At 49.4% G+C, this 22,168-nt stretch overlaps 2 protein-coding genes across 11 annotated transcripts in view, besides 5 other annotated features; one reads left to right on the top strand and one right to left on the bottom strand.

The window, feature by feature from the left end:
- SZRD1 (SUZ RNA binding domain containing 1) overlaps window positions 1-21,375 on the top strand; it is a 30,904-nt gene extending 9,529 nt beyond the window's left edge. The window contains exons 2-5 of one of the 6 annotated variants that reach the window (NR_073501.2): window positions 10,285-10,355; window positions 14,605-14,654; window positions 16,458-16,712; window positions 18,268-21,375. Coding sequence is in view for 2 of the 6 variants with exons in the window: in NM_001114600.3 (NP_001108072.1) it covers window positions 14,605-14,654; window positions 16,458-16,712; window positions 18,268-18,370 (408 nt within the window). In the remaining 4 variants the exon portion in view is untranslated. The remainder of the gene's footprint in view (window positions 1-10,284; window positions 10,356-14,604; window positions 14,655-16,457; window positions 16,713-18,267) is intronic. The other 5 variants (NM_001114600.3, NM_001271869.2, NR_073502.2 and 2 more) reach the window with 5 other exon arrangements.
- Window positions 3,252-3,753: an enhancer, noted in NCBI's record as "H3K4me1 hESC enhancer chr1:16706517-16707018 (GRCh37/hg19 assembly coordinates)". NCBI's record gives its function as "activates a minimal SCP1, AML or CMV promoter by ChIP-STARR-seq in primed H9 embryonic stem cells {active_cell/tissue: H9 hESC(primed)}" and the evidence as "EXISTENCE:reporter gene assay evidence [ECO:0000049][PMID:30033119]".
- Window positions 3,754-4,253: an enhancer, noted in NCBI's record as "H3K4me1 hESC enhancer chr1:16707019-16707518 (GRCh37/hg19 assembly coordinates)". NCBI's record gives its function as "activates a minimal SCP1, AML or CMV promoter by ChIP-STARR-seq in primed H9 embryonic stem cells {active_cell/tissue: H9 hESC(primed)}" and the evidence as "EXISTENCE:reporter gene assay evidence [ECO:0000049][PMID:30033119]".
- Window positions 8,811-9,311: an enhancer, noted in NCBI's record as "H3K4me1 hESC enhancer chr1:16712076-16712576 (GRCh37/hg19 assembly coordinates)". NCBI's record gives its function as "activates a minimal SCP1, AML or CMV promoter by ChIP-STARR-seq in naive H9 embryonic stem cells {active_cell/tissue: H9 hESC(naive)}" and the evidence as "EXISTENCE:reporter gene assay evidence [ECO:0000049][PMID:30033119]".
- Window positions 9,312-9,812: an enhancer, noted in NCBI's record as "H3K4me1 hESC enhancer chr1:16712577-16713077 (GRCh37/hg19 assembly coordinates)". NCBI's record gives its function as "activates a minimal SCP1, AML or CMV promoter by ChIP-STARR-seq in naive H9 embryonic stem cells {active_cell/tissue: H9 hESC(naive)}" and the evidence as "EXISTENCE:reporter gene assay evidence [ECO:0000049][PMID:30033119]".
- Window positions 16,248-17,154: an enhancer, noted in NCBI's record as "H3K4me1 hESC enhancer chr1:16719513-16720419 (GRCh37/hg19 assembly coordinates)". NCBI's record gives its function as "activates a minimal SCP1, AML or CMV promoter by ChIP-STARR-seq in naive H9 embryonic stem cells {active_cell/tissue: H9 hESC(naive)}" and the evidence as "EXISTENCE:reporter gene assay evidence [ECO:0000049][PMID:30033119]".
- The window catches only part of SPATA21 (spermatogenesis associated 21), a 42,166-nt gene continuing 38,904 nt past the window's right edge, over window positions 18,907-22,168 (bottom strand). For 4 of the 5 annotated variants that reach the window (XM_011541407.4, NM_001353349.1, NM_198546.1 and 1 more), the window contains one exon: window positions 21,873-22,052. In XM_011541407.4, coding sequence (XP_011539709.1) covers window positions 21,995-22,052 — 58 coding nt within the window. In that variant the 3' untranslated portion in view covers window positions 21,873-21,994. Of the gene's footprint in view, window positions 19,543-19,787; window positions 19,977-21,872; window positions 22,053-22,168 lie in introns of those variants that run through there. The other variant, NR_148413.2, reaches the window with a different exon arrangement.

Below are 22,168 nucleotides of genomic sequence, written 5' to 3' on the forward strand. Positions count from 1 at the left end.
ACTCCAGCCTGGGCGACACAGCGAGACTCTGTCTCAAAAAAAAAAAAAAAAAAACGTTGCTCAGGATTTTTAAATGGAGGGGGCGGTGGTCTTGCCTTGTTACCCAGACTGATCTGAACTCAGATCGCTTCAAGTGATACTCCCACCTCAGCCTCCTCCTGAGTAGCTCAGAGTACAGGTGCGTGAGCCACTGCACCTAGCCGGCAGGATTTTTAAATATTGAACTTGAATGCCTTTACCGGCTGTTGGCTGCTCTCTGCTGTCCTCTCCTCTGCTCTCCCCTGCAATCCTCCTTTACCTGTTGTTACCTCTTGTGTTCCATTCTGCCTGCTTTAGCCATTTGGGCTTGGAGGCATTGTGTTTGCCACCCCTGCTGAGTGCTGGCGATTCTAACTGGGATTTGATGAGGGCACCCTTGGGTGTTAAAGTGAAATCTGGTGGATGAGGGTTAATAGTGTCTTTGTTTCATCCTCCAAAGTCAGTAATGCCTGGTATTTCCTTTGGGAGAGGAGCCTTGCAGTCATTATAAAAGGTAGCAAGAGTGGCTTACACCTGTAATCCCAGCACTTTGGGAAGTCAAGGCGGGTGGATTGCCTGAGGTCAAGAGTTCAAGACCAGTCTGGCCAACATGGTGAAACCCTGTCACTACTAAAAATACAAAAAAATGAGCGGGACGTGGTCGTGTGCACCTGTAATCCCAGCTACTCAGGAGGCTGAGGCAGGGGAATTGCTTGAACTAGGGAGGTGGAGGTTGCAGTTAGCCAAGATCATGACAGAGACAGACTCTGTCTCAAAAAAAAAAAAAAAAAAAGCAAGAAAGGATAGGTTCTCTCTGCCAGTTAACGGCCTACTTTTCTCCATTAATGGCAATAGGTCAGAAGACTGGGATTTAAATGCCTGGTCTGATTTTTGGACAAATCACTACCTACCCTTCTGTCCACATCAATCTCTTAATTTGTAAAACTGAATTAATAGAATTTGCCTTGCCTGGTAGTGAGAGTTAAAACACTTAGTAAAGCGTCATTCACAGGTGGATGTGGGAGCCGAGAGTGCCATTGCTCTGAGTGTGAAGGCATTGTTCCCGGCTCTCCAGCCACTCACAGTGTAGCCTCTATCTGGTTTGGGTTCAGGATTCCTAAGACTGGCTGAAGGGTCACTTTCTTGCTGCCCCTGAGGACTAATATACTCTCCTCCGAGAATTGTATTGCTTAGTGTTGTACGAAAATCAACAGGGAGAAGCAGTTACAGAAACACAGAGAAAGCAGGAGCCCCATTAGATTCGACCCCATTTTATTTCCAGGGCAAGACTCTTCACCATTACATCTGCCTATCCCGTTACTTTCAGGTATAGGGCTGAGTGTATCCCTCCGGCATGGAGACCCTTTGAGGAGGCACTCAAAACAATACATTGTCTCAAGATGGCATCTACAAAGTTTTTGAGGCTTTCTAGCCTGGGATACATCTAAACTGCTAGGCCTGGTTGCTGCTGAAGAATTATTTCTGTTTGGCAACTTCTTTTTTTTTTTTTTTTTTGAGATGGAGTCTTGCTCTGTCGCCCAGGCTGGAGTGCAGTGGTGTGATCAGCTCACTGCAACCTCCGCCTCCCAGGTTTGAGCAAATTCTCCTGCCTCAGCCTCCCGAGTAGCTGGAATTACAGGCACCTGCCACCGTGACACCTGGCTAATTTTTGTATTTTTATTAGAGACAGGGTTTCACCATGTTGGCCGGTCTGGTCTTGAACTCTTGACCTCAGGTGATCCACCCACATCGGCCTCGCAAAGTGTTGGGATTACAGGTTTGAGCCACCGTGCTTTTGGCAACTTATTTATAGCTTTAAGATCGGGGCCTTGGGAGTCAGCTGTTTTTGTCTGTTACTGCTATAGGCCTTAGGAAACCTGGGCTTGCACTGACCTGGCCTGAGGTGTAGCAGCAGGCTGGGATGTTGTTATCTGTCAGCCCTTATCCTACTTTATTTATTTATTTTGAGACGGAGTCTTGCAGGCTGGAGTGCAGTGGTGCAGTCTCGGCTCATTACAACCTCCACCCTCTGGGTTCAAGTGATTCTCCTGCCTGAGCCTCCCGAGTAGCTGGGATTACAGGCACGTGCCACCACGCCCGGCTAATTTTTGTATTTTTGGTGGAGAGGAGGTTTTGCCATTTTGACCAGGCTGGTCTCGAGCTCCTGACCTCAGGGGATCCACCCGCCTCGGCCTCCCAAAGTGCTGGGGTTACAGGTGTGAGCCACTGTGCCCGACCTCCTTATATCCTACTTTATTAGCTCCTGATGCCACCTGCCTGCCAGTGTCCTGAACATTTTTGCTTCCCCTTCTTGAGATTTAGGGTTCAGTTGTGTTTTGTTTTGTTTTTGAGATGGAGTCTCGCTCTGTCGCCCAGGCTGGAGTGCAGTGGCACGATCTTGGCTCACTGCAAGCTCCGCCTCTGGGATTCACGCCATTCTCCTGCCTCAGCCTCCCAAGTAGCTGGGACTACATGTGCCTGCCACCACGCCCGGCTAATTTTTTGTTTTTAGTAGAGACGGGGTTTTACCATGTTAGCCAGAATGGCCTCGTGATCCGCCCGCCTCGTCCTCCCAAAGTGCTGGGATTACAGGCGTGAGCCACTACGCCCTGCCTTAGGGTTCAGTTCTGTCACTTACTAGTTGTGCATAGTTGTGCAGTCAGAGGCAAATCACTTAACTTCCGGGTATGCAGCAAGGCTGCTGGACGCTCCACAGGTTGTAGCGAAGATAAGAGGTGGTAAAGGGAGGACGTAATACCTGTTTTTTGCCAAGAAATGCCTAAGGCAGCCTGAGCTCTTATTTTGAATATGGATAGTGTCATTTGTCAACTGGATCCAGATAGATCCAGTTCAAATTCTGGCTCCACTTCATACTAGCTGTGGAACCATGGTCAAATTATATAACCTATCTGAATTGATTCCTCTTCATTTGTAAAATCAAGATATATCTATAAAATCCTGTTGATTTGGGGTTTTTTTTTTTTTTTTTTGAGACGAAGTCTCGCTCTGTTGCCCAGGCTGGAGTGCAGTGGCGCAGTCTTGGCTCACTGCAACCTTTGCCTCTCGGGTTCAAGCAATTCTCCTGCCTCAGCCTCCCAAGTAGGTGGGATTACAGGCGCCAGCCACCACACCCCGCTAATTTTTTGTATTTTTAGTAGAGACAGGGCTTCACCATGTTGGCCAGGCTGGTGATTGTTCTTTAATTCGTGTGTTGGGTACTATTTTAGACATTGGACAAATGCAGTGAATGAAGTTTCTGCTCTCATAAGGCTTACTTTCTACTGGGGAAAGATGGACAATAAACAGTAAGTGTTTTATATACCACTCAGTAAAGAAAAGTAAAACAGATTAAGGGTTTTAGAAAGTGACTGTGGTGGAATTGCCATCTTACAAAAAATGGTCAGAGGCAGGCAAGGTGGTGCGCGGCTGTATTCCCATCTACTTGGGAGGCTGAGGCAGGAGGATCGCTTGAGGGCAGGAGTTTGAGACCAGCCTGAGCAACATAGAGAGACGCTCGTCTCTTTATTTATTTTTGAGCTGGAGTCTCACCCTGTCTCCCAGGCTGGAGTGCAGTGGCATGATCTCAGCTCACTGCTGAGATCCTCCCAGGTTCAAGCAATCCTCCTGCCTCAGCCTCCCAAGCAGCTGGAATTACAAGCATGTGCCACCATGCCTGGCTTTTATTTTTTTTTTTGAGATGGAGTTTCTCTCTTGCTGCCCAGGCTACTGGAGTGCAGTGGCGTGATCGCGGTTCACCACAGCCTCCACCTCCCGGGTTCAAGCGATTCTCCCACCTCAGCCTCCCGAGTAGCTGGAATTACAGGCATGTGCCATCACGCCTGGCTAATTTTGTATTTTCCGTAGAGACGGGGTTTCTCCATGTTGGTCAGGCTGGTCTCAAACTCCTGACCTCAGGTGATCTGCCTGCCTCGGGCTCCCAAAGTGCTGGGATTACAGACGTGAGCCACCGTGCGTGGCCACCTGATAATTTTTGTATTTGTAGAGATGGGATTTTGCCATTTTGGCCAGGCTGGTCTCGAACTCCTGAGCTCAAGCAATCCACTTGCCTTGGCCTTCCAAAGTGCTGAGATTACAGATGTGAGCCACTGCACCCAGCCCCTCATCTTTTTTTTTTTTTTAAAGAAAAAAATAGCTGGGCATAGTGGCATGTGCTTGTAATCCCAGCTGCTCAGGAGGCTGAGGCAGATCGCTTGAGTCCAGGAAATCAAGGCTACAGTGAGCTATGATTGCATCACTGCACTCCAGCCTGGGCAACAGAGCAAGACCCTGGCTCGTTAAAAAAAAAAAAAAAAAAACTAGCCAGGTGTGGTGGCACATGCCTATAATCCCAGCTGCTCAGGAGGCCGAGGCCGAAGGATCACTTGAGTCCAGGAGTGTGAGGCTGCAGTGAGCTGTGATTGTACCATTGCACTGTAGTTTGAACAACAGAGCAAGAACTTGTTTCTTAAAAAAATAAATAAAAAATAATGTTGGGCATGGTGGCTCACACCTGTAATCCCAGCACTTTGGAAGGCCGAGGTGGGTGGATCACTTGAAGTCAGGAGTTTGACAGCCTGGCCAGCATGGTGAAACCCCATCTCTGTAGAAATACAAAAAAATTAGCCAGGTGTGGTGGCACACGCCTGTAATCCCAGCTACTTGGGAGGCTGAGACAGGAGAATCGCTTGAACCCCTGAGGTGGAGGTTGCAGTGAGCTGAGATCGTGCCATTGCACTCCAGCCTGGGCGACAGCGAGACTTCATCTCAAAAAAAAAAAAAAAAAGATCAGAGAAGGTCTCTTAAAGATAGGTAGAGAGATTTAAAAGAAGTGCAGCAACAAGCTGCTTAGAAGCTCGTTGAAGGCCGAGTGCGGTGGCTCACCCATGTAATCTCAGCACTTTGGGAGGCTGAAGCAGGCGGATCACCTAAGGTCAGGAGTTCAAGACCAGCCTGGGCAACATGGTGAAGCTCTGTCTCTACTAAAAATACAAAAATTAGCCGGGTGTGGTGGCAGGCGCCTGTAATCCCAGCTACTCAGAAGGTTGAGGCAGGTTTGAACCCAGGAGGTGGAGGTTGCAGTGAGCTGAGATCGTGCCACTGCACTCCAGCCTGGGCGACAGAGCAAGACTCCATTGCAAAACAAAACCAAAAAGAAAGAAGCTGGTTGAAGTGCGTTCTAGGCAGAGGGAACAGCAAATGCTAAGGCCCAGAGGCTGGAGCATGATTGTTTTGTCTTGAACAGTGGGGCCAATGTGGTGGCCATGCTTGATAGGGGAGAGTGGTAGGAGATGAGGTCAGAGGTAGTGGACAGCCAGATTTAGTAGAGACCCGTAGGCCAAGATGGATATCACCTCAAAATAGCACCAGGAGAGGGTGCTGAGCAGGGGCTAGCATGGGTGGGTTTTTTTTTTCTTTTTTGAGATGGAGTCTTGTCTGTCGCCCAGGCTGGAGTGCAGTGGCCCGATCTCAGCTCACTGCAGCCTCCGCCTCCCGGGTTCAAGCGATTCTCCTGCCTCAGCCTCCTGAGTAGCTGGGACTACAGGTGCACGCCACTGTGCCCAGCTGATTTTTATGTTTTTAGTAGAAATAGGGTTTCACCATGTTGGCCAGGCTGGTCTGGAACTCCTGATCTCAGGTGATCCGCCCACTTCGGCCTCCCAAAATGCTGGGATTACAGGCATGAACCACTGCGCCTGGCCACATGGTTTTTTTTTTTGTTTTTTTTTAATGGAGTCTCACTCTGTCACCCAGGCTGGAGTGCAGTGACACAATCTCAGCTCACCGCAACCTCCCCCTCCCGAGTTCAAGCGATTCTCCTGCCTCAGTCTCCCGAGCAGCTGGGATTACAGGCATGCGCCATCACACCTGGCTAATTTTTGCACTTTTGGTGGAGACAGGGTTTCACCATGTTGGCTATGCTGGTCTTAAACTCCTGACCTCAGGTGATCCGCCAGCCTCGGCACTCCCAGAGTTCTGGGATTACAGGCGTGAGCCACTGTGCCGAGTCGGGACCCATCTTCTAAGGTTAGACTCTAAAGCAGTGTTGTCCAACAGAAGGTACAATGTGAGCCACATGGATAATTTTTTTTTTTTTTGAGACGGAGTCTCACTCTCTCCCCCCTGCTAGAGTACAATGGTGCAATCTCAGCTTACTGCAACCTCCGCCTCCCGGGTTCTAGCGATTCTCCTGCCTCAGCCTCCTGAGTAGCTGGAATTACAGGTGCCCGCCACCACGTCCGGCTAATTTTTGTATTTTTAGAAGGGACAGGGTTTCACCATATTGCTCAGGCTGGTCTGGAACTCCTGACCTCAGGTGATGCACCCACCTCGGCCTCCCAAAGACACATGGGTAATTTTATATTTTCTTTTTCTTTTCTTTCTTTCTTTCTCTCCTTCCTTCCTTCCTTCCTTCTTGCTTGCTTCTTTCCTTTTTTTTTTCTTTTCTTTCGAGGTGGGGCCCCACTCTGTCATGCACCTGGAGTGCAATGGCACAATCATAGCTCACTGCTGCCTCAAACTCTTGGACTTAAGCAATCCTCCCACTTCAGCAGCCTCCCAAGTAGCTGGGACTACAGGTGTGTGCCACCATGCCCAGCTAATTTTTTATTTTTTGTAGAGTTGAGGTCTTACTTTCTTGTCCAGGCTGGTCTTGAACTCCTGGTTTCAAGCAATTCTCCTCTTTCAGCCTCCCAAAGTGTTGGGATTACAGGCATGAGCCACTGCCTCAGCCTTAATTTTATATTTTCTAGAAGCAACATTTTAAAAGTACAAAGAAACAGATGAAATTAATTTTAATTTTTTTCTTTTTTTTTCTTTTCTTTCTTTCTTTTTTTCCTTTTTTTTTTTTTTTAGACAGAGTCTTGCTCTGTTGCCCAGGCTGGAGTGCAGTGGTGCAATCTCAGCTCACTGCAACCTCTGCCTCCTGGGTTCAAGCGATTCTCCTGCCTCAGCCTCCTGAGTAGCTGGGATTACAGGCATGCGCCACCACGCCTGGCTAATTTTTGTATTTTTAGTAGAGATAGGGTTTCACCATGTTGGCCAGGCTGGTCTGGAACTCCTGACCTCGTGATCCGCCCGCCTGGGCCTCTCAAAGTGCTGGGATTACAGGCGTGAGCCACCGCGGCTGGCCAGTTTTAATATTTTTAATTTAACTCAGTATGTCCAAAATAGTATAATTGTAACATGATTATTATTTTAAAATACGTGAATTGTTTAAAAATATGTGAAGCATCCCTGTAAAATCAAACCTGGGGTGATAGGACTTGGGGTGTGTCCCTCTCTGGGATTAGTCAGGGGAAGTAGAATAATTACAGGAGCATTGGAGGTGGCCAGTCCTAGTCATACCAGGCCAGGACACTGTCACTGCTATGCTACTGATGGAAACAAGGCAGAGACGAAACAGAATTAAATCAACATGGAGGTTGTTTGGAGAAGTCCATGGATTGTACATCTGAACTTGAAATGGCCAGTGGCCAGGCACAGTGGCTCACACATAATCCCAGTACTTTGGGAGAGTGAGGTGGGAGGATCACTTGAGCCCACAGTTCAAGAGCAGCCTGGAGAACATAGCAAGACCCCGTCTCCACCAAAAAAAAAAAAAAAAGGGAAAAAGAAATGGCTAATGATGCGGGAGACATTTTTATCTGATAGTTTTAGACCAGATTTTGCTGTTGTAGATTGCTTCTACCTGTGAATTCTTTGACTGTATTCCCAAGTGAAATTGGGAATTCTGATTCCCAAGGAATCAGAATCCCATCCATATTTGTGGTATGGGAAACAAGACCCCTTGCAGGGGAGACTGGTCCACCAGGAGACCCTGTAGCCCAGGGACCTGGGCGCCAGTGTCCCTCCCAAGGCCTGAAGACATAAGGCTAGCATGGGCCGTGGCTGGCTGTGTGGGAGTTCAGGGCCGGAACAGGTTGGAAGGTAGTCTCGCCTGCTATCCCTTATTTCTTCTCTTTGCTTTTTTCTTTGCCCTTTGCTTTTTGTGTTACTCAGGGCCTGTGGGACCCTGATTCTGGGAGAAATCTGTTGTGCTCTCCAGGTTCCTGTCTCTTCTTCAGATCTCCCCGGGTCCACTTGTAGACTTGTGCACCCTGATTCAGGATGAGACCAGAGGACCCTGTGGGGCAGCGATTCATAGGGAGCTCAAGGCCAGTTGTTATTCTTTGAATTTGAGAGAAACATTGGAAATGTCATCTTCTGAAATGAAAACTAACAGAGAAAGGCAAATCATTTGGGAAAAGTTACTTAAATGGTAACCTTGTTGCCAATAAAAGAGTATTTTCTAATTCAAAGTCCAAAGCAAGGGTCCCTCTTAGATCTCTGTTCAATATAAGATTGCTCTATTTCTTGGGAGTCGTGTTGGTGACACTGGAGACCAGAGGATTCCGGTTCTCAGAGAGAGGGATGCTGTGATGGAGTAGGACAGTACAGTCTTTTGGCTTGTATACTGAGGCACAGAGTGGGGAGGCCTGCTGTCCTTGGGGAGTGGGTAGCAGCAGATCAGGCACCAGAAAGGGTGAGACACCCCCTCTGACCCTTGTAGTGTAACAGGTGTGAGTTTGTTCACTTTGTCTCTTGTGAGCTTGGCTAGTTCGAATCAGTCCCCCAGGGCATCATCACCCCAGGCTGTTGTGTAAACATTCGTACCTGAGAAGGTACAACTGTAATGGTGCTTATACTTGCTGTGCTTTACACTAAGACCCAGAATAGCCTATTTCTTCCTCTCCTCTGCCTTTCTCACCTTTCTTTTTTCCTTGTCATCGACCTCTTAACGTTACAGGAGTAAACCTACCACTGTAATCTGCTTCACCTTACAGACACATCCCTATCTTTTGTCACCTTTGTTCCTTTTGTAGCTTGTGACAGTAACAAACTGGGTTGTTTGAGGTGACCCCTTCCCTGCTCTCCTCCTTGGGAATGATCTTATCCGCATTGTACTCCTAGGTCCCATACCCTAACTTTTCAGCCAGAGGCACATTTATAGCAAGGTTAAGGGCATCAGCAGCCAGTGAAGCTGAGCTTCCTCCTCTGGTGAGTTAAAATTGCAAATGTTGACATCTGATCCCATTCACCTTGTGGTTGTGGCTCTCCTTTACCTCCCATAAAGGACCAGCCCTGTCGAGAACCACCTTCCTCCCCACTGTGCTTCTTCATGATTTCCTGCCTCCGCTCTTTCCTTCTGGCTTTGCTTGTTCTCTGAGACCGAGAAGCTTGTGTCCCATTTCTGTAGATGTGTAGCCTCATAGGACAAGTGATGTCAAGGTTTGGCAACAGTAGATCTTTTGCTTAGGATTTGGACCCGGAACACAGAATGTCACCTTCTGTGGGCTGCTTGGTGCTACTTGGCTGAAGAGCCTTTCCAGGAGCAGGAGCCATAGGAGATCACTTTCCTGGCCACCGCCCTGTGTGGTATGCTTGTGCCCTAGCACTTGCCTTGTGCCCACTCACAGCAGTCACAGCGATGGTTTTCTTTGACTAGCGATGGAGGTCAGGCCTCTAACACAGGAGCCTAGACCTTGGGCAGGACTCTGCATCCTTGTCTAAAGAGAGGGTTCCCTTAGGTAGTACGATTCCTTATTTCAGGCCTGCATCTAGATGCTTCCCCACACAAGTTCTGAGGCCTGTTTAATTCCATTGGGCTATTGCATCTCTGGGGGAGATGCACATTTTCCTTGTAATACACCCTGTAGGAAAGTTTTGACTTGGTCCAGCTTTTCAGAGCATGAGTCTGAGAGCAGATTGATTGCAAGGCCTTGTCTGAGAAGAGAATAGACTGACTCATGATACCTGGACAGACTCCAGAGGGAGATGCGATGCCCTCTCCAGCTGCTGGCAGAGCATTCCTTCTCCTGCTTGGGCGCCTCTGAGCATGCTGGCGTCCAGCTGGCCATCTAAAGATGACCAGGATCCACTTTCCACCAAAGCTGCTTGGGTTTCCATCCCATTCTGTAATCTTATGGAAGAATCCCTCTCCAGCTCTGATAAAGCTCTTCTGCCTTTCACAGTGGAGTTGGATGAGAGTTGTAGTTCTTGGCATGCCAGGGAGCAGTGTGGAATTGGGGGAGATGACCAATATCTAATGGTTTATACTGGCATTTCCAGGGGATTTGAGCAATTGTCGGGGGAGGGTGGTATGTCAGCATAGGGGCCTCAAAAGGCGAATTCTAGGGCTGTCTCTGTGGTTTACTACCTTGTGACCTTGGGTAAGTTCCCTAACCCTCATCTGACAGAAGGATAAAAGCTACTTTGTCTGCCAAACAGGGCTGGTGTGAGCAGAAAATGAATGTCTGGGGAAGAATGTTGACAGCCATAATACATTATATCGATATAAGGTATTATTTTAAAAGCTATTAGTATTATATTACATGCCAAGTATGTTAATCATGTTCTAGTTTGGGGACAGAGGCGCATTTACTCAGACATGGCCTACGATGTCCTCTTGAAGCGCTTTTCTTCCACCCAGGCTCCTTGTGCTGGAACTGGGCAGATGGTCCATCTTCCTTAAACCCTAGAGGAAGAAGGAAGCAGTTTGCTTTCCTCAGAGGAGACCTGGATGGGACTTCTCAAATTCACTCTAATGTGTGAGGCCCATTTCTCTCTCTGTCTTATTTGGCTCTCGCAGCGATATGAAAGTGAAAGTTCACATAGTGAAGTTGGAAAATTCAGTGCATTGCCATAAAAATACTGATTTGGTTTCTTCTGCGCTAGATCTGGCCCTGTCTGCCAAAGCTTGTTGGCCGTCATTAGGCAGGGCAAGTGCTCTTTGGTGCCCTGCAGCCCCTTCACTTCCCCAGGTATGCTCCGTGCGAGTGGAGTTTGGCTGCTTGCCTGGTCTATGAAGGCATTTGGTCTCAACCCTCAAAGGCTTCTAAATTCTACAGCTGTCAAGGCTCTGTTTATGATGGAGAAACTCGAATAGGCAGTCTTGTATTTAGAGTGGAGCGAAATGATACAGTATGAAACTTTAAAACAAGAAGTTACTTGTGAGAAGCCCTTAAAAGGTAATAGGCAATAGACTAATATGAGCTGTAGTACTTACTCAGGTAATAACACTGGTATTAATAGAATTAATACAATTCCATCAATACAGTCATTTTCAGGACAGAGTACGTAGTGGACATAGATTCTGTGTGAGTGTCTGTGTTTGTCAGTTCACAGAAAACATCCAGGTCGTTCTCTTATTATTGGTGTACCTTTTCCATTCAGTCATTCAGCATTCTTTGGCACCAACTGTGTTCCAAGCTGGAGCGAGAGGTTTCCATTTTAGTGCCTTTCTGGCCCCTCCAGAGATTTGATGGTGCCTCAGAATACAATAAATTACATATATATATATATTTTGAGACAGAGTCATGCTCTATTGCCCAGGCAGGAGTGCAGTGGCATAATCTCGGCTCACTGCAACCTCCGTCTCCCAGGTTCAAGAGATTCTCCTGCCTCAGCCTCCTGAGTAGCTGGGATACCACGCCCAGCTAATTTTTGTATTTTTAGTAGAGACGGGGTTTCACCTTGTTGACCAGGCTGGTCTTGAACTCCTGACCTCAAGTGATTCACCCACCTCGGCCTCCCAAAGTCAAAGTGCTAGGATTGTAGGCGTGAGCTACCATGCCCAGCCAAATATATAAATATATTTTAAACACAAGTTAGTACCAATCAGGATAGGTGTCAGTGTTAGACTAGATTTAAATCTAGTTTCATATGGTTAATCTAGTTCATACTGTTTACAAGAGATGCAAATAAGGACATGGAAAGGTGAGAAAAACTATGTTCTAGGAAATACTGACCAAAAGAAAGCTGGCCAACTTTATTAATATGAAACAATACATTATAAGGCAAAAAAGATCACATCATAATGATACACTGTTTAACTTACTAGAAAGAATAAGTCTTTTTTTTTTTTTTTTTTTTTTTTTGAGACAGAGTCTTGCCCTGTCGCCCAGGCTGGAGTGCAGTGGTGTGATCTCCACTCACTGCAGCCTCCCTAGTAGCTGGGATTACATGTGCGCACCACCACGCCTGGATAATTGTTGAATTTTTAAATAGAAACAGGTTTTCACCCTGTTGCCAAACTGGTCACAAACTCCTGACCCCAAGTGATCCGCCTGCCTCAGCCTCCCAAAATGTTGGGATTACAGGCATAAGCCACTGTCACTGTGCCTGGCCAATAATTCTTAATTCTTTACCTGGTCAGTAGATCAAATGAGTCAGTAAGAATTTACAAGATTAGAACAATATAGCTAACCAGCTTGAACTTTGAACTGCACCCATCAACTGGAGAATAGTTATTTCCTTTTTTTTTTTTTTTTTTTTTGAGACAGAGTCTCGCTCTGTCGCCCAGGCTGGAGTGCAGTGGCACGATCTCAGCTCACTGCAAGCTCCACCTCCCAGGTTCACGCCATCCTCCTGCCTCAGCCTCCCGAGTAGCTGGGACTACAGGCACCCACCACCACGCCCGGCTAATTTTTTGTATTTTTTTGAGGGGGGGTGGGGGGGGGGCAGAGTCTTGCTCTGTCGCCCAGGCTGGAGTGCAGTGGCGCCATCTCGGCTCACTGCAAGCTTCGCCTCCCGGGTTCACGCCATTCTCCTGCCTCAGCCTTCTGAGTAGCTGGGACTACAGGCGTCCTGCCTCAGCCTTCTGAGTAGCTGGGACTACAGGCGCCCGCCACAACGCCTGGCTAATTTTTTTTTTTTTTGTATGTTTAGTAGAGATGGGGTTTCCACTGTGTTAGCCAGGATGGTCTCGATCTCCTGACCTCGTGATCCGCCCACCTCGGCCTCCCAAAGTGCTGGCATTGCAGGCGTGAGCCACCGTGCCTGGCCAATTTTTTGTATTTTTATTAGAGACGGGGTTTCACCGCGTTAGCCAGGATGGTCTCAATCTCCTGCCCTCGTGATCCGCCCGCCTCGGCCTCCCAAAGTGCTGGGATTATAGGCGTGAGCCACCGCGCTGGGCTGAGAATAGTTATTTTCAGAACATACAGAGCACTTACGAAAATGGCCTACATGCTGAGCCATGGGGCAGATCTCACCAAATTTCAAAGTCTCCACACTACGGCTGTGGTTCTTCACATTTTGCAAGTGATGGACTTCTTTGAAAATCCCAGTCTAATAAATTAAGGTTGCCCAGACTTAGCACTGTTGACTTTTGGGGTTAAATAGTTCTTTGTGTGGGGCTGTCCTGTACACTGTAGGACATTTAGCATTTCCCCAATAGTGGCAACCAAAAATGGCTTGACATTGTCCAGTGTCCCCTGAGGGACAGAATCTTATCTGGTTGAGAACCACCATTAGAGATCTTGTCTCTAGAAAAACACAGAATTTTGCATACAGTTTCTTCCATCTCCATTAGAGCTAGTTGATCTTGTCCTCACTGAGGATGGCTGAGGGAGTGGGACTTTTTCTAAGAAAGGCCGTAGGGCAGCCAAGCAGCCTGGGGGTTTGGTCTTTGTTCTGTGCACGGCCTCTCCCCACACCCCTGTCCTGGATATAGATGCTCACACGCGTGTGTGGAGGTGTCATAGGCATGCTGGTGCTGATGGGCTGAGGGCTCAGACTGCCATGAGCCCAATGTCCTGCTCAGGGCTTGAAGAGATGAGGCCAGGGCGTGTTGGAAGGCAGTCCTGCCTGCTCCTCCTTCTCAGCCTCTTTCTTCTCTCTGCTTTTCTCTAAAATGGTGGTGTTGTTTTAATCAAGACCTGTCAGGCTCTGGTTCTGAGAGAAATACTTGCTGCACTCTCAGGTGTCTTGTCTCTTCCTCAGGTTCCCCATGTTCACTTGTAGACCATGGACCTCCAAAGCCACAAACATAAGGCATAGGTTTTACTCTAAGCCTTTCGGTAGGTGCCAGTCACAGAGAGTTCAAGTCCGTAACAGTAAAAAATACATTATTAAAATATTAGATATGACCATAAAGGAATGTAAAAGGGAGAGTTTATTCTGAGGACCAGGTGATGCACCATGCTGGTGGGATCAGAGGAGACTTTATAAAGGAGAGGTAGACATCCAGGCTGGGTTGTGCAGGATCAATGGGAGTTTGCAAGGGGAGGGGACATTGCAGGCAGGTGGAACAGCATGCTGAGTTCTGGGGGCTAGTGATAGCAAAACAGAGACAGAAGGTAAAAGAAGGTATGGGTGAGGCATGCTCAGAAGCTTTGACTAGGTCTGCAAGCAGTTGAAGGGTTTAAAGTAGGGAAGTGACATGATCAGATTTATGTTTAATTTTTTTTCCAACTCTTTATTTCATAAAATAGAGTAAGTGTTCCTAAGTTTAGGTTTAGAAGTTGATATGAGTGGCTCTGTGAAAGACAGATTACAGGTCAGAAAACTGGTTGGAGGCTATGCAAAGAACCCAGCTGAACAATGAGGTTTAGAACTGTCATGGCGGCCATGGGGCTAGAAGGGAGATGGACCTGCAGAGGGTATCAGGTCCCCAAACCCCAAAATCTAGTCCACATTTGTTATGTTGAAGGACACAGTCATGTCCCTGGCTAGAGAAAGGACACTGCCCTTAGCTCCAAAAATAAAGACTAAGTTTTTATTTGAGAGAGATTTTTTCCTCTTTTTATATACATTTTTTTCCTCTAGGAAATAGACAGACGGTTGGAAAAAAAACTGAAGATCACACAAAAAGAGAGGTAAGGCTGCTGTCTGGTCTGAGGGCTCATGCTCTCTGTGGTTTGAGAGCCGGGCAGTCAGTGGTGTTCTCCAGCTGGCCATTAGGATTAGCAGGTCCTAGCAGGTCAGGCTCTGGGGCAGCAAACCCTTCCCTCCAAATTGGAGACCAGGACGTGGTGGCTTGAGGCTTTAGGGTTGAGGCTGGGGTGTTGCACCTGCCTCTGACCTTCGTGGGCTCCCTGTGTGAGGTCATCTGATGCAATGTGAGGAAGTGACAAGTTGGAAGACTTGAGTTTTAGGCCTGGCAGTGCCCCAGTTGCTCTGAGGTCTGGGGCAAGTCATTTCCCAGATCTGGACATCAGTTTCTTTCTCTGTGGCATGAGGAGTGTGGGCAGATGATTTCTCTGGGTCCCCAGTGACTTGGTGGTCTAGGGTATTATGAGGGTATCCTGGAAGAAAACATTCTAGGAAATTCTTGAAAAAACCTTTAAAAATAGCTTTGTTTTCCACCTAGACGACAGAGGAGGGTGTTTCCAGAGTAGGTGAAAGTTGACTTCGGCTTTCTGCTTTTGGGCTTAGGGAACCTGTTGGTTTTCCATAGGTACAAGGGACAGGAAGGAGGATAGGGCCCCTCTGGATTTGCTCACGGGGCTGCACAGTCATTCCCCAGGAAACTCTGGGTGCTCTGCCCGCCCGCTAGTTTTCCTGGCTCCCTGCCTCTTTGATCAGATTGCTGGCTCCTTGTCTGTCTGCTCATCTCAGCAACCACGCTAACCCTGGGTTACAGTCCTCGTTCCATACCATTTGTGTCCTACCCGAGACTTGTTTCCATCCACCCTGGCTCAGTTCCTCCAATCCCGACTCCTCCTGACAGCCAAGGCTCTGGAAGCAGGCTTGTTTGGTTCTGAAGAGAAGCTGGTTGACTGCTCTGGGTAGGGTCCTGGTGGCTGTTGTCGGGTGGTCATTCCTGCCTGGGTTCCTGTCTCCTCCTGTGGCTTTTGTTTCTTTCCCTTCCTGTGTTGTTGTCCCTCTTTGTTTTTTGTCATTCCACCTCTCCCTGTGGACACATCGCCTTGATGTACGCGTCCACCAGCCTTGGACAATGCTTTTCTTTTGAGCATTGCCAAGCACTGTTTCTAGGAGCATCCTTCACTCCAGCCCCGCCGCTGTCCAAAAGACCAGGGAGCCCTGGCAAGGGAGGTTTCTCTGTTCAGAAGCTTTTTGAAGAGGATTCAGTTGTCTGGTGTAGCTTGTCTCTGGGAGGCACAGGTCACTCTCACTAGAAGGTGGCTTGGTAAATCTTGATGCCAGGCAGGGATGGCGTAGTGGGCTCCTTTGTAGTGTTTGTCTGGTTTGAGCATGTGATGGAAGATTTGGCTGAGTGAACACTGCTGACCCCCAAGTTCAAAGGCTCCCACCCCACCAGCCAGTCCTACTCTGATCTGCGTAGAGAAGCTGGGATCTTAACTGACGTCATTCAATTCTGGACATAAACTGTTTTGCTGCAGGGCCAAATAGTGGTTGATGTGGCTGTGGTGAACATGGGGATAGAAGTGCCAGAATGAGGTGGCGTTCCAGCCCCTGTGGCCAGGGGTTAGGGCTGAGGAGCAGTTCCTGTGGCCTGTCAGAGCTGGTCGCAAGCTTACTTTTTTGGGACACCCTTCTTGAGGAGTGGAAATTTTGCTGTCTGGTCAGAGGCCAGAGAATCATGCATGGGTAGAATTAGGGAGGGAGAGGAAAGTGATGAGAGGTGGGTGTGGGACATGGACAGGGCCTCCTTAGTCAGGAGCATGATTTGTGAAGCTGTGTTTGCTCTTTGTCAGCAGGAAATCCAAATCTCCTCCCAAAGTGCCCATTGTGATTCAGGACGATAGCCTTCCCGCGGGGCCCCCTCCACAGATCCGCATCCTCAAGAGGCCCACCAGCAACGGTGTGGTCAGCAGCCCCAACTCCACCAGCAGGCCCACCCTTCCAGTCAAGTCCCTAGCACAGCGAGAGGCCGAGTACGCCGAGGCCCGGAAGCGGATCCTGGGCAGCGCCAGCCCCGAGGAGGAGCAGGAGAAACCCATCCTCGACAGGTGAGTGTGGCTGGCAGGGCCGGCCAGTGATGGCTGTCCCAGTCCACCCGGGAAGAGGAGAGCATCCTGGCTGCGTGTAGAGTAGTGAGAAGCAAGCAGAGTCAGGGTAGGAACCATGCAGCTCCACTTGCTGATCCCAGCCTGCTGGCACTAGTTCACTGTGCCGCATTGGCTGGAGAGGGCTCTGAAAGCCTTGCCAGGGAGGAGGTGGCAGTTTGCTGGCATGCTCCCTCTGCGGTTGGTAGTCACCGGGGGCACTGTTGTGTAGAGAGTGAAGGCACAGATGAGCTTGTGTCAAAATCTGCCTCTTACCTCTTCTTTAGAACGACTTGACCTCTCTGGGCCTTAGTTTTCTCATCTGAAAAAATGGGATAATAATAGTACCAACCTTATCAAGGTGTTGTGCAATTCAGTGAGTAAATGAGCATAGGATGTGGAGAGCCTGGGCTGGCAGAGTGGAAAGTACCCCAGATAAGTGCTTTGATGATATTTTCTGGGTCTCCAGTATGCCCACTGTGATGTTTTTGTGAATTTTCTAAATTCCTTTTTACTCTTAACATTTTTTTCTCTGCAGTATTAAAGGTTGCATCATATAAGTTTATCACTTTCGAATCAAACAGTATTCATTAAGATGGCCTCCTTCTAACTTTGAGGGGCTGCTATGGTTTGGTATTCTGGGACTTGAAGAAAAAATCTGCGTACCTTCTTTCTAGCTCTTCATAATTTTGAAGAGATACCTGTTCTTTTTGTTGTTTCTCCTCTAAGTCTTCACCTTTCCAGGGTGGAAAAATAGTCATATGAGTCAACCGTTAACCGCAGAGTTTGGAGAGGAGTGGGAGGGAAGAATTGGGGGGCGGGGGATGTGTCCCTCTGCTGAGCTCTTGATTCCAGTTCTTTACTTTGGCCTAACACTCTGGAGATTCCAAATGGTTCTGCGGAGCATGTGCTATCCATGGTCACTGCCTCTGGGCAGAGTGGGCCCTCAAGCACTCCCCCTGCCTACAAGTGCATGATGGCAGCTGAGCAGGGGGAAAGGATGCTGTAGCTGCTAGAGGTGAATGTGCACCACCGACCCTGCCTGCTCACAGGGGCCTCTCAACTTGGAGGTGCCCTGAGTCAGCTTCCCAAAGAAGCAGGCTTGCGGAGCCAGAGTGACGTGGGCCCAGCTATATGGACAGTTGATTTTAAGATGGGGGACATCTAGGCCAGGTGCAGTAATCCCAGTACTTTGAGAGGCCGAGGTGGACGGATCACTTGAGGTCAGGAGTTCAAGACCAGCCTGGCCGACATGGTGAAACCCCATCTCTACTAAAATTACAAAAATTAGCTGGGTGTGGTAGCATATGCCTGTAGTCCCAGCTACTCGGTAGGCTGAGGTAGGAGGATCACTTGAACTCAGGAGGTGGGGGTTGCAGTGAGCGGAGATCGTGCCACTGCACTCCAATCTAGGTGACAGAATGAGACTCCGTCTCAAAAATAAATAAAAAATAAAGAAATGATGGGGGACATCTATTATATCCTTCTTCAGGCCTTCCTCTGCTTTTCTTCCTTTCAGGCCAACCAGGATCTCCCAACCCGAAGACAGCAGGCAGCCCAATAATGTGATCAGACAGCCTTTGGGTCCTGATGGGTCTCAAGGCTTCAAACAGCGCAGATAAATGCAGGCAAGAAAAGATGCCGCCGTTGCTGCCGTCACCGCCTCCTGGGTCGTCCGCCACGGGTTGCACTGCCGTGGCAGACAGCTGGACTTGAGCAGAGGGAACGACCTGACTTACTTGCACTGTGATCCCCCTTGCTCCGCCCACTGTGACCTTGAACCCCATGCACTGTGACCTCCCCCCTTCTCCCCCTTCCCACTGTGATTGGCACATCGACAAGGGCTGTCCCAAGTCAATGGAAAGGGAAAGGGTGGGGGTTAGGGGAAGGTTGGGGGGACCCAGCAAGGACTCAGAGAGTCAGACAGTGCCACTTGGCCACTTGGGGTAAAGCCAGTGCCAGCAATAACAGTTTATCATGCTCATTAATTTGGGATTTCAAAACACAAATGAAAACTCACACCCACCCACCCCCAAGTGCATGTCTCCATCACTTAAAAAGTAAGTTCCATTTGAAAATATCCTTTCTTTTTTTTTTCTTCCTATTTTTGTTTGTTTATACAAATATCTGATTTGCAAGAAAAAGTGCATGGGAGGGGTTTTAGTGGTTTAATGAATTTTTAATTAAGAAAGGGTAGTTTGGTAGTCTACTTAAAAATGTTTCTGGGAAATTCACTAGAAACATTAACCAATAGGATTTTGGTGAGCTTAGCTTCTGTATTCCTACTGCCGCCCAGAAAAGGGGCAGGGCTCTGCAGCCGCCAGGACAGACGAGCACCCCATGCCTATACCTCCCTCCCCGAGCTAAGTCCCAGGGCATCTGGGCCTTGCCTGGAGACTGGGCTAGCTCTGTAGGCTCGGAGAGCCTGGGGAGGGTGCCAACCCCACCTCTAGTATTTTGGGAGATAGGGAAAGTGAACCGACTTCCCCTTCCCATACCCCTCAGGGTGGTTCCCTACCAGCCAGGCTTACTACTTCTAGAAGAAAGCAGAGTGCCAGGGAGTGAGATTGCATCCCTGGGCTTAGAAGTGACGGAGAGAAGACTTGTTTAGTATTTTGCCATCAGCACAAGGAAAACCAGGAGAGAGTCTGCCTCCAGGACTCTGAGCCTTCTGCCTCGTATGTTCAGAAGGTGGATAGGTCTTCCCACTCCAGCATGGCTTGAACTCTTAGGGGTCTGCAGTGCTCCATCTCCATTGGTGGCCCCAGCTCAGTAACTATACCTGGTACATTTCCTGTGTGCAATCAGTACCTTGAAGGCAGAACATTCTGAATAAAGTTGGAAAAAGAACAGCTTTGCTTTGCAAAGATTGATGACAGACTGGTTCCTCAGAGGCCTAGGCTACCCGTCACCCCTTTTTCCAGAGCGAGGGCCTGGAATGAAGGCAGTTTATCCTCTGTCCCTGGAGCCTGGGGTTTGCTTTGGCTCCTTGAGGTGGAAGAGACTAAGAGGGCAGCTGCCCAGAGCAGCTGTGTGTACCTGGCTCCTCTCAGGCTTCCTGATCCCTTCCGTTGCACTGCGCCTTATCCCTCAGCCAGCCAGACAGCCTCCCTGCTCCTGACCAGCAGATACGTTTCGGAGTGGTTGGTGTGGTTTTTGTGATGAGGGCAGCACGTGGTGGCCAAGGTGGCAAGCTGAGTCTCACAGGCTCACTCCCTCGTTGGTTCCCTGTGGGAATGGTAGGCCAGGCCCAGTAAGCCATGCCCCAACACGTCCTCTCCTCCGGAGGAAGGGCCAGCTGCCAGCTGAGTCAGCAGCTAGTCCATAGCACAGCCTTATAACTGTAAAGCCAGGCATTGCCCATGAGCAGAGCTGGAACCAGAGCTTCAGTCAGTAAGAGGGAGGATTACCTTCAGGAGAAGGCAAGGAAGAAAACTGGCTGCTATCTTTATAGTTCCACTGCCCTAACCAAGTGTCCACATTCTAAATGTGTAGTGTCCATCCCTTATGTAATAGTGGTTTCCCGCCCAAAGTGAGACTTTCCTTTTAATTGGAGAAGGGTATAGAGGTAGTCCAGGTGGGAACGCCAGAAGTGCTGATTGCCCAGCCATTGGGACCACCTGTTCTTGCCCCACTACCCTCTAGTGGGAGGCCAAAGTAAAGGCTGGCTGGTGGGTGTCTGTGGATTGAGGATGTGGCAGGGACTGGTCCTCCCACCTCCCTCTGGCCAAAGATGGGCTTTGCCCGCTGTGTGCCTGTCACCACCCACCAGCAGTCATGCCCTGGGCTTCCCAAATGGAGAGGTAGCAGGCAACGTTTTTAAAAAGAAAGAAAACAGGAAACTGTATTGTGTCGGGGGAGGCGGGAGGGAGATGAGGAAACGGTTTGGATTTTGTGTGTGGGAGGGTATTTTTTGGGGGTAGTTGTCTGTAACTTTCCTAAGTGCTTTTTTTCCTTTTCTTTTTTAAAGTAAGTTGCAGGCTTTGGCTTGGAAAACCCCAGGGGGATGGGGGGCAGAAACCTGAGGCTGCTGCCCCTTTATCTGCCTTCACGGTACTGTCCCCTTCCCCCAGCTCCTCCCTGACCCCATGGGCCAGGCCTCAGACCTTCCAGCTAACCGCTTCCCATGAGCCACTACTCTGATGTCAGCCTATAACCAAAGGAGCTGGGGGGTCCAGGCCTGGTGACCAACCTTTCTCAGCCCACTCAATCAGGGTGCTCCCCACCTGCAGGCAGGAGGCAACACCCTATCTGCTACCATCAGCCCCTTCCAGAGCCCATCTGCCCCGCCCAGCCCTGCCCTGCCCAGCCATACCCTGCTCTGCCCCATCTGGGGGTGCCCTGCTCAGGGATGGGCTGGCAGGGCTGTACCCAGCCTCCCTGGTAAGCAGAGACTCAAGAAACCTCTGGGGTCCTGTTTTCTGGTCGTGTGATCCCAGGGGTGCACATGGGCCCCTTGGGTGTCTGAACAGAAGGGCATGGGAGGGAGGGCTGCACCCCTGCAGTCTTACTCTGCTGGTGTAGCGGGCAGCTGCCCACTCCCACCCCACCCTGCACCGCGGGCTCCTGAGTCGGCAGATTAAGCATTTTATAAATTGTATTTTAAATACATGTTTTAAACTTGTCAGATCTTTGTCCTCATTTCAGTCCCTGCCCTCTACCTCTTGCTGTGGCCGCTTATTTAACCCTGGGGGATTTCCCTCTGCCCAGTCCCAGGGAAAGACTGTCTTTGGTAAAACACGAGGCCGGGTGGTATGTGGGTTGAGGGGAAAGGACCCACCCCTCTTGGGGCTCCCAGAGAATGAGAGCCCTGGGTCCTGGGGCTCTGTCGGGGGAGCATGCAGAGGCCACCTCCTGCTCTTCCACAGGGCCTGTCTTAGAGCCAGTGGAGAGAGAGAATGGCTGCTTTTGTGGGGCTCCCAGTCCAGAGGGGGATGTGCTCACCTGAGGAGAGGCCTAGCCCTGTGCTTTGAGAAGGCACAGAAGGTCAAGACTGCACGCAGGGGCACCTGTAGCAGAAATCCCAACCCCGCGCAGGGCTTTGAGGTGGAACCCTGCACTCTGAGAGCCCAGTGGTGGCTGGGTGACAACTTGAGGGCCTTTCTTGGCAAGAGGCACAGAGGCTGAAGTTATTGGTGTTTATTAGCTCACCAGGCCACAAAAGCAAATCCCAGCAGCAGCTCCTGCCTGGTGGCCCATCTGTCTACAGGCCTTGAGCAGCTGCCTAGAGTCAGGCCTCCAGAGGGTCAGTGGGTTCGAGCTGGCACAGAGCTGAGCCACTTTCTGCTGTCAGAGTTGTGTTCCCTGGGGAGAGGAGTAGGGCAGAAGGGTGGGAGACATGTGGCCCTTTCCCTATCTGCCAGTATATGAGCCATCTGTGCGTGCCCAAGTGAGGAGAGAGAGGAGGCCTCCCCTCAGAA

Source organism: Homo sapiens, chromosome 1 (assembly GCF_000001405.40).
Source record: "Homo sapiens chromosome 1, GRCh38.p14 Primary Assembly".
Taxonomy (NCBI): domain Eukaryota; kingdom Metazoa; phylum Chordata; class Mammalia; order Primates; family Hominidae; genus Homo; species Homo sapiens.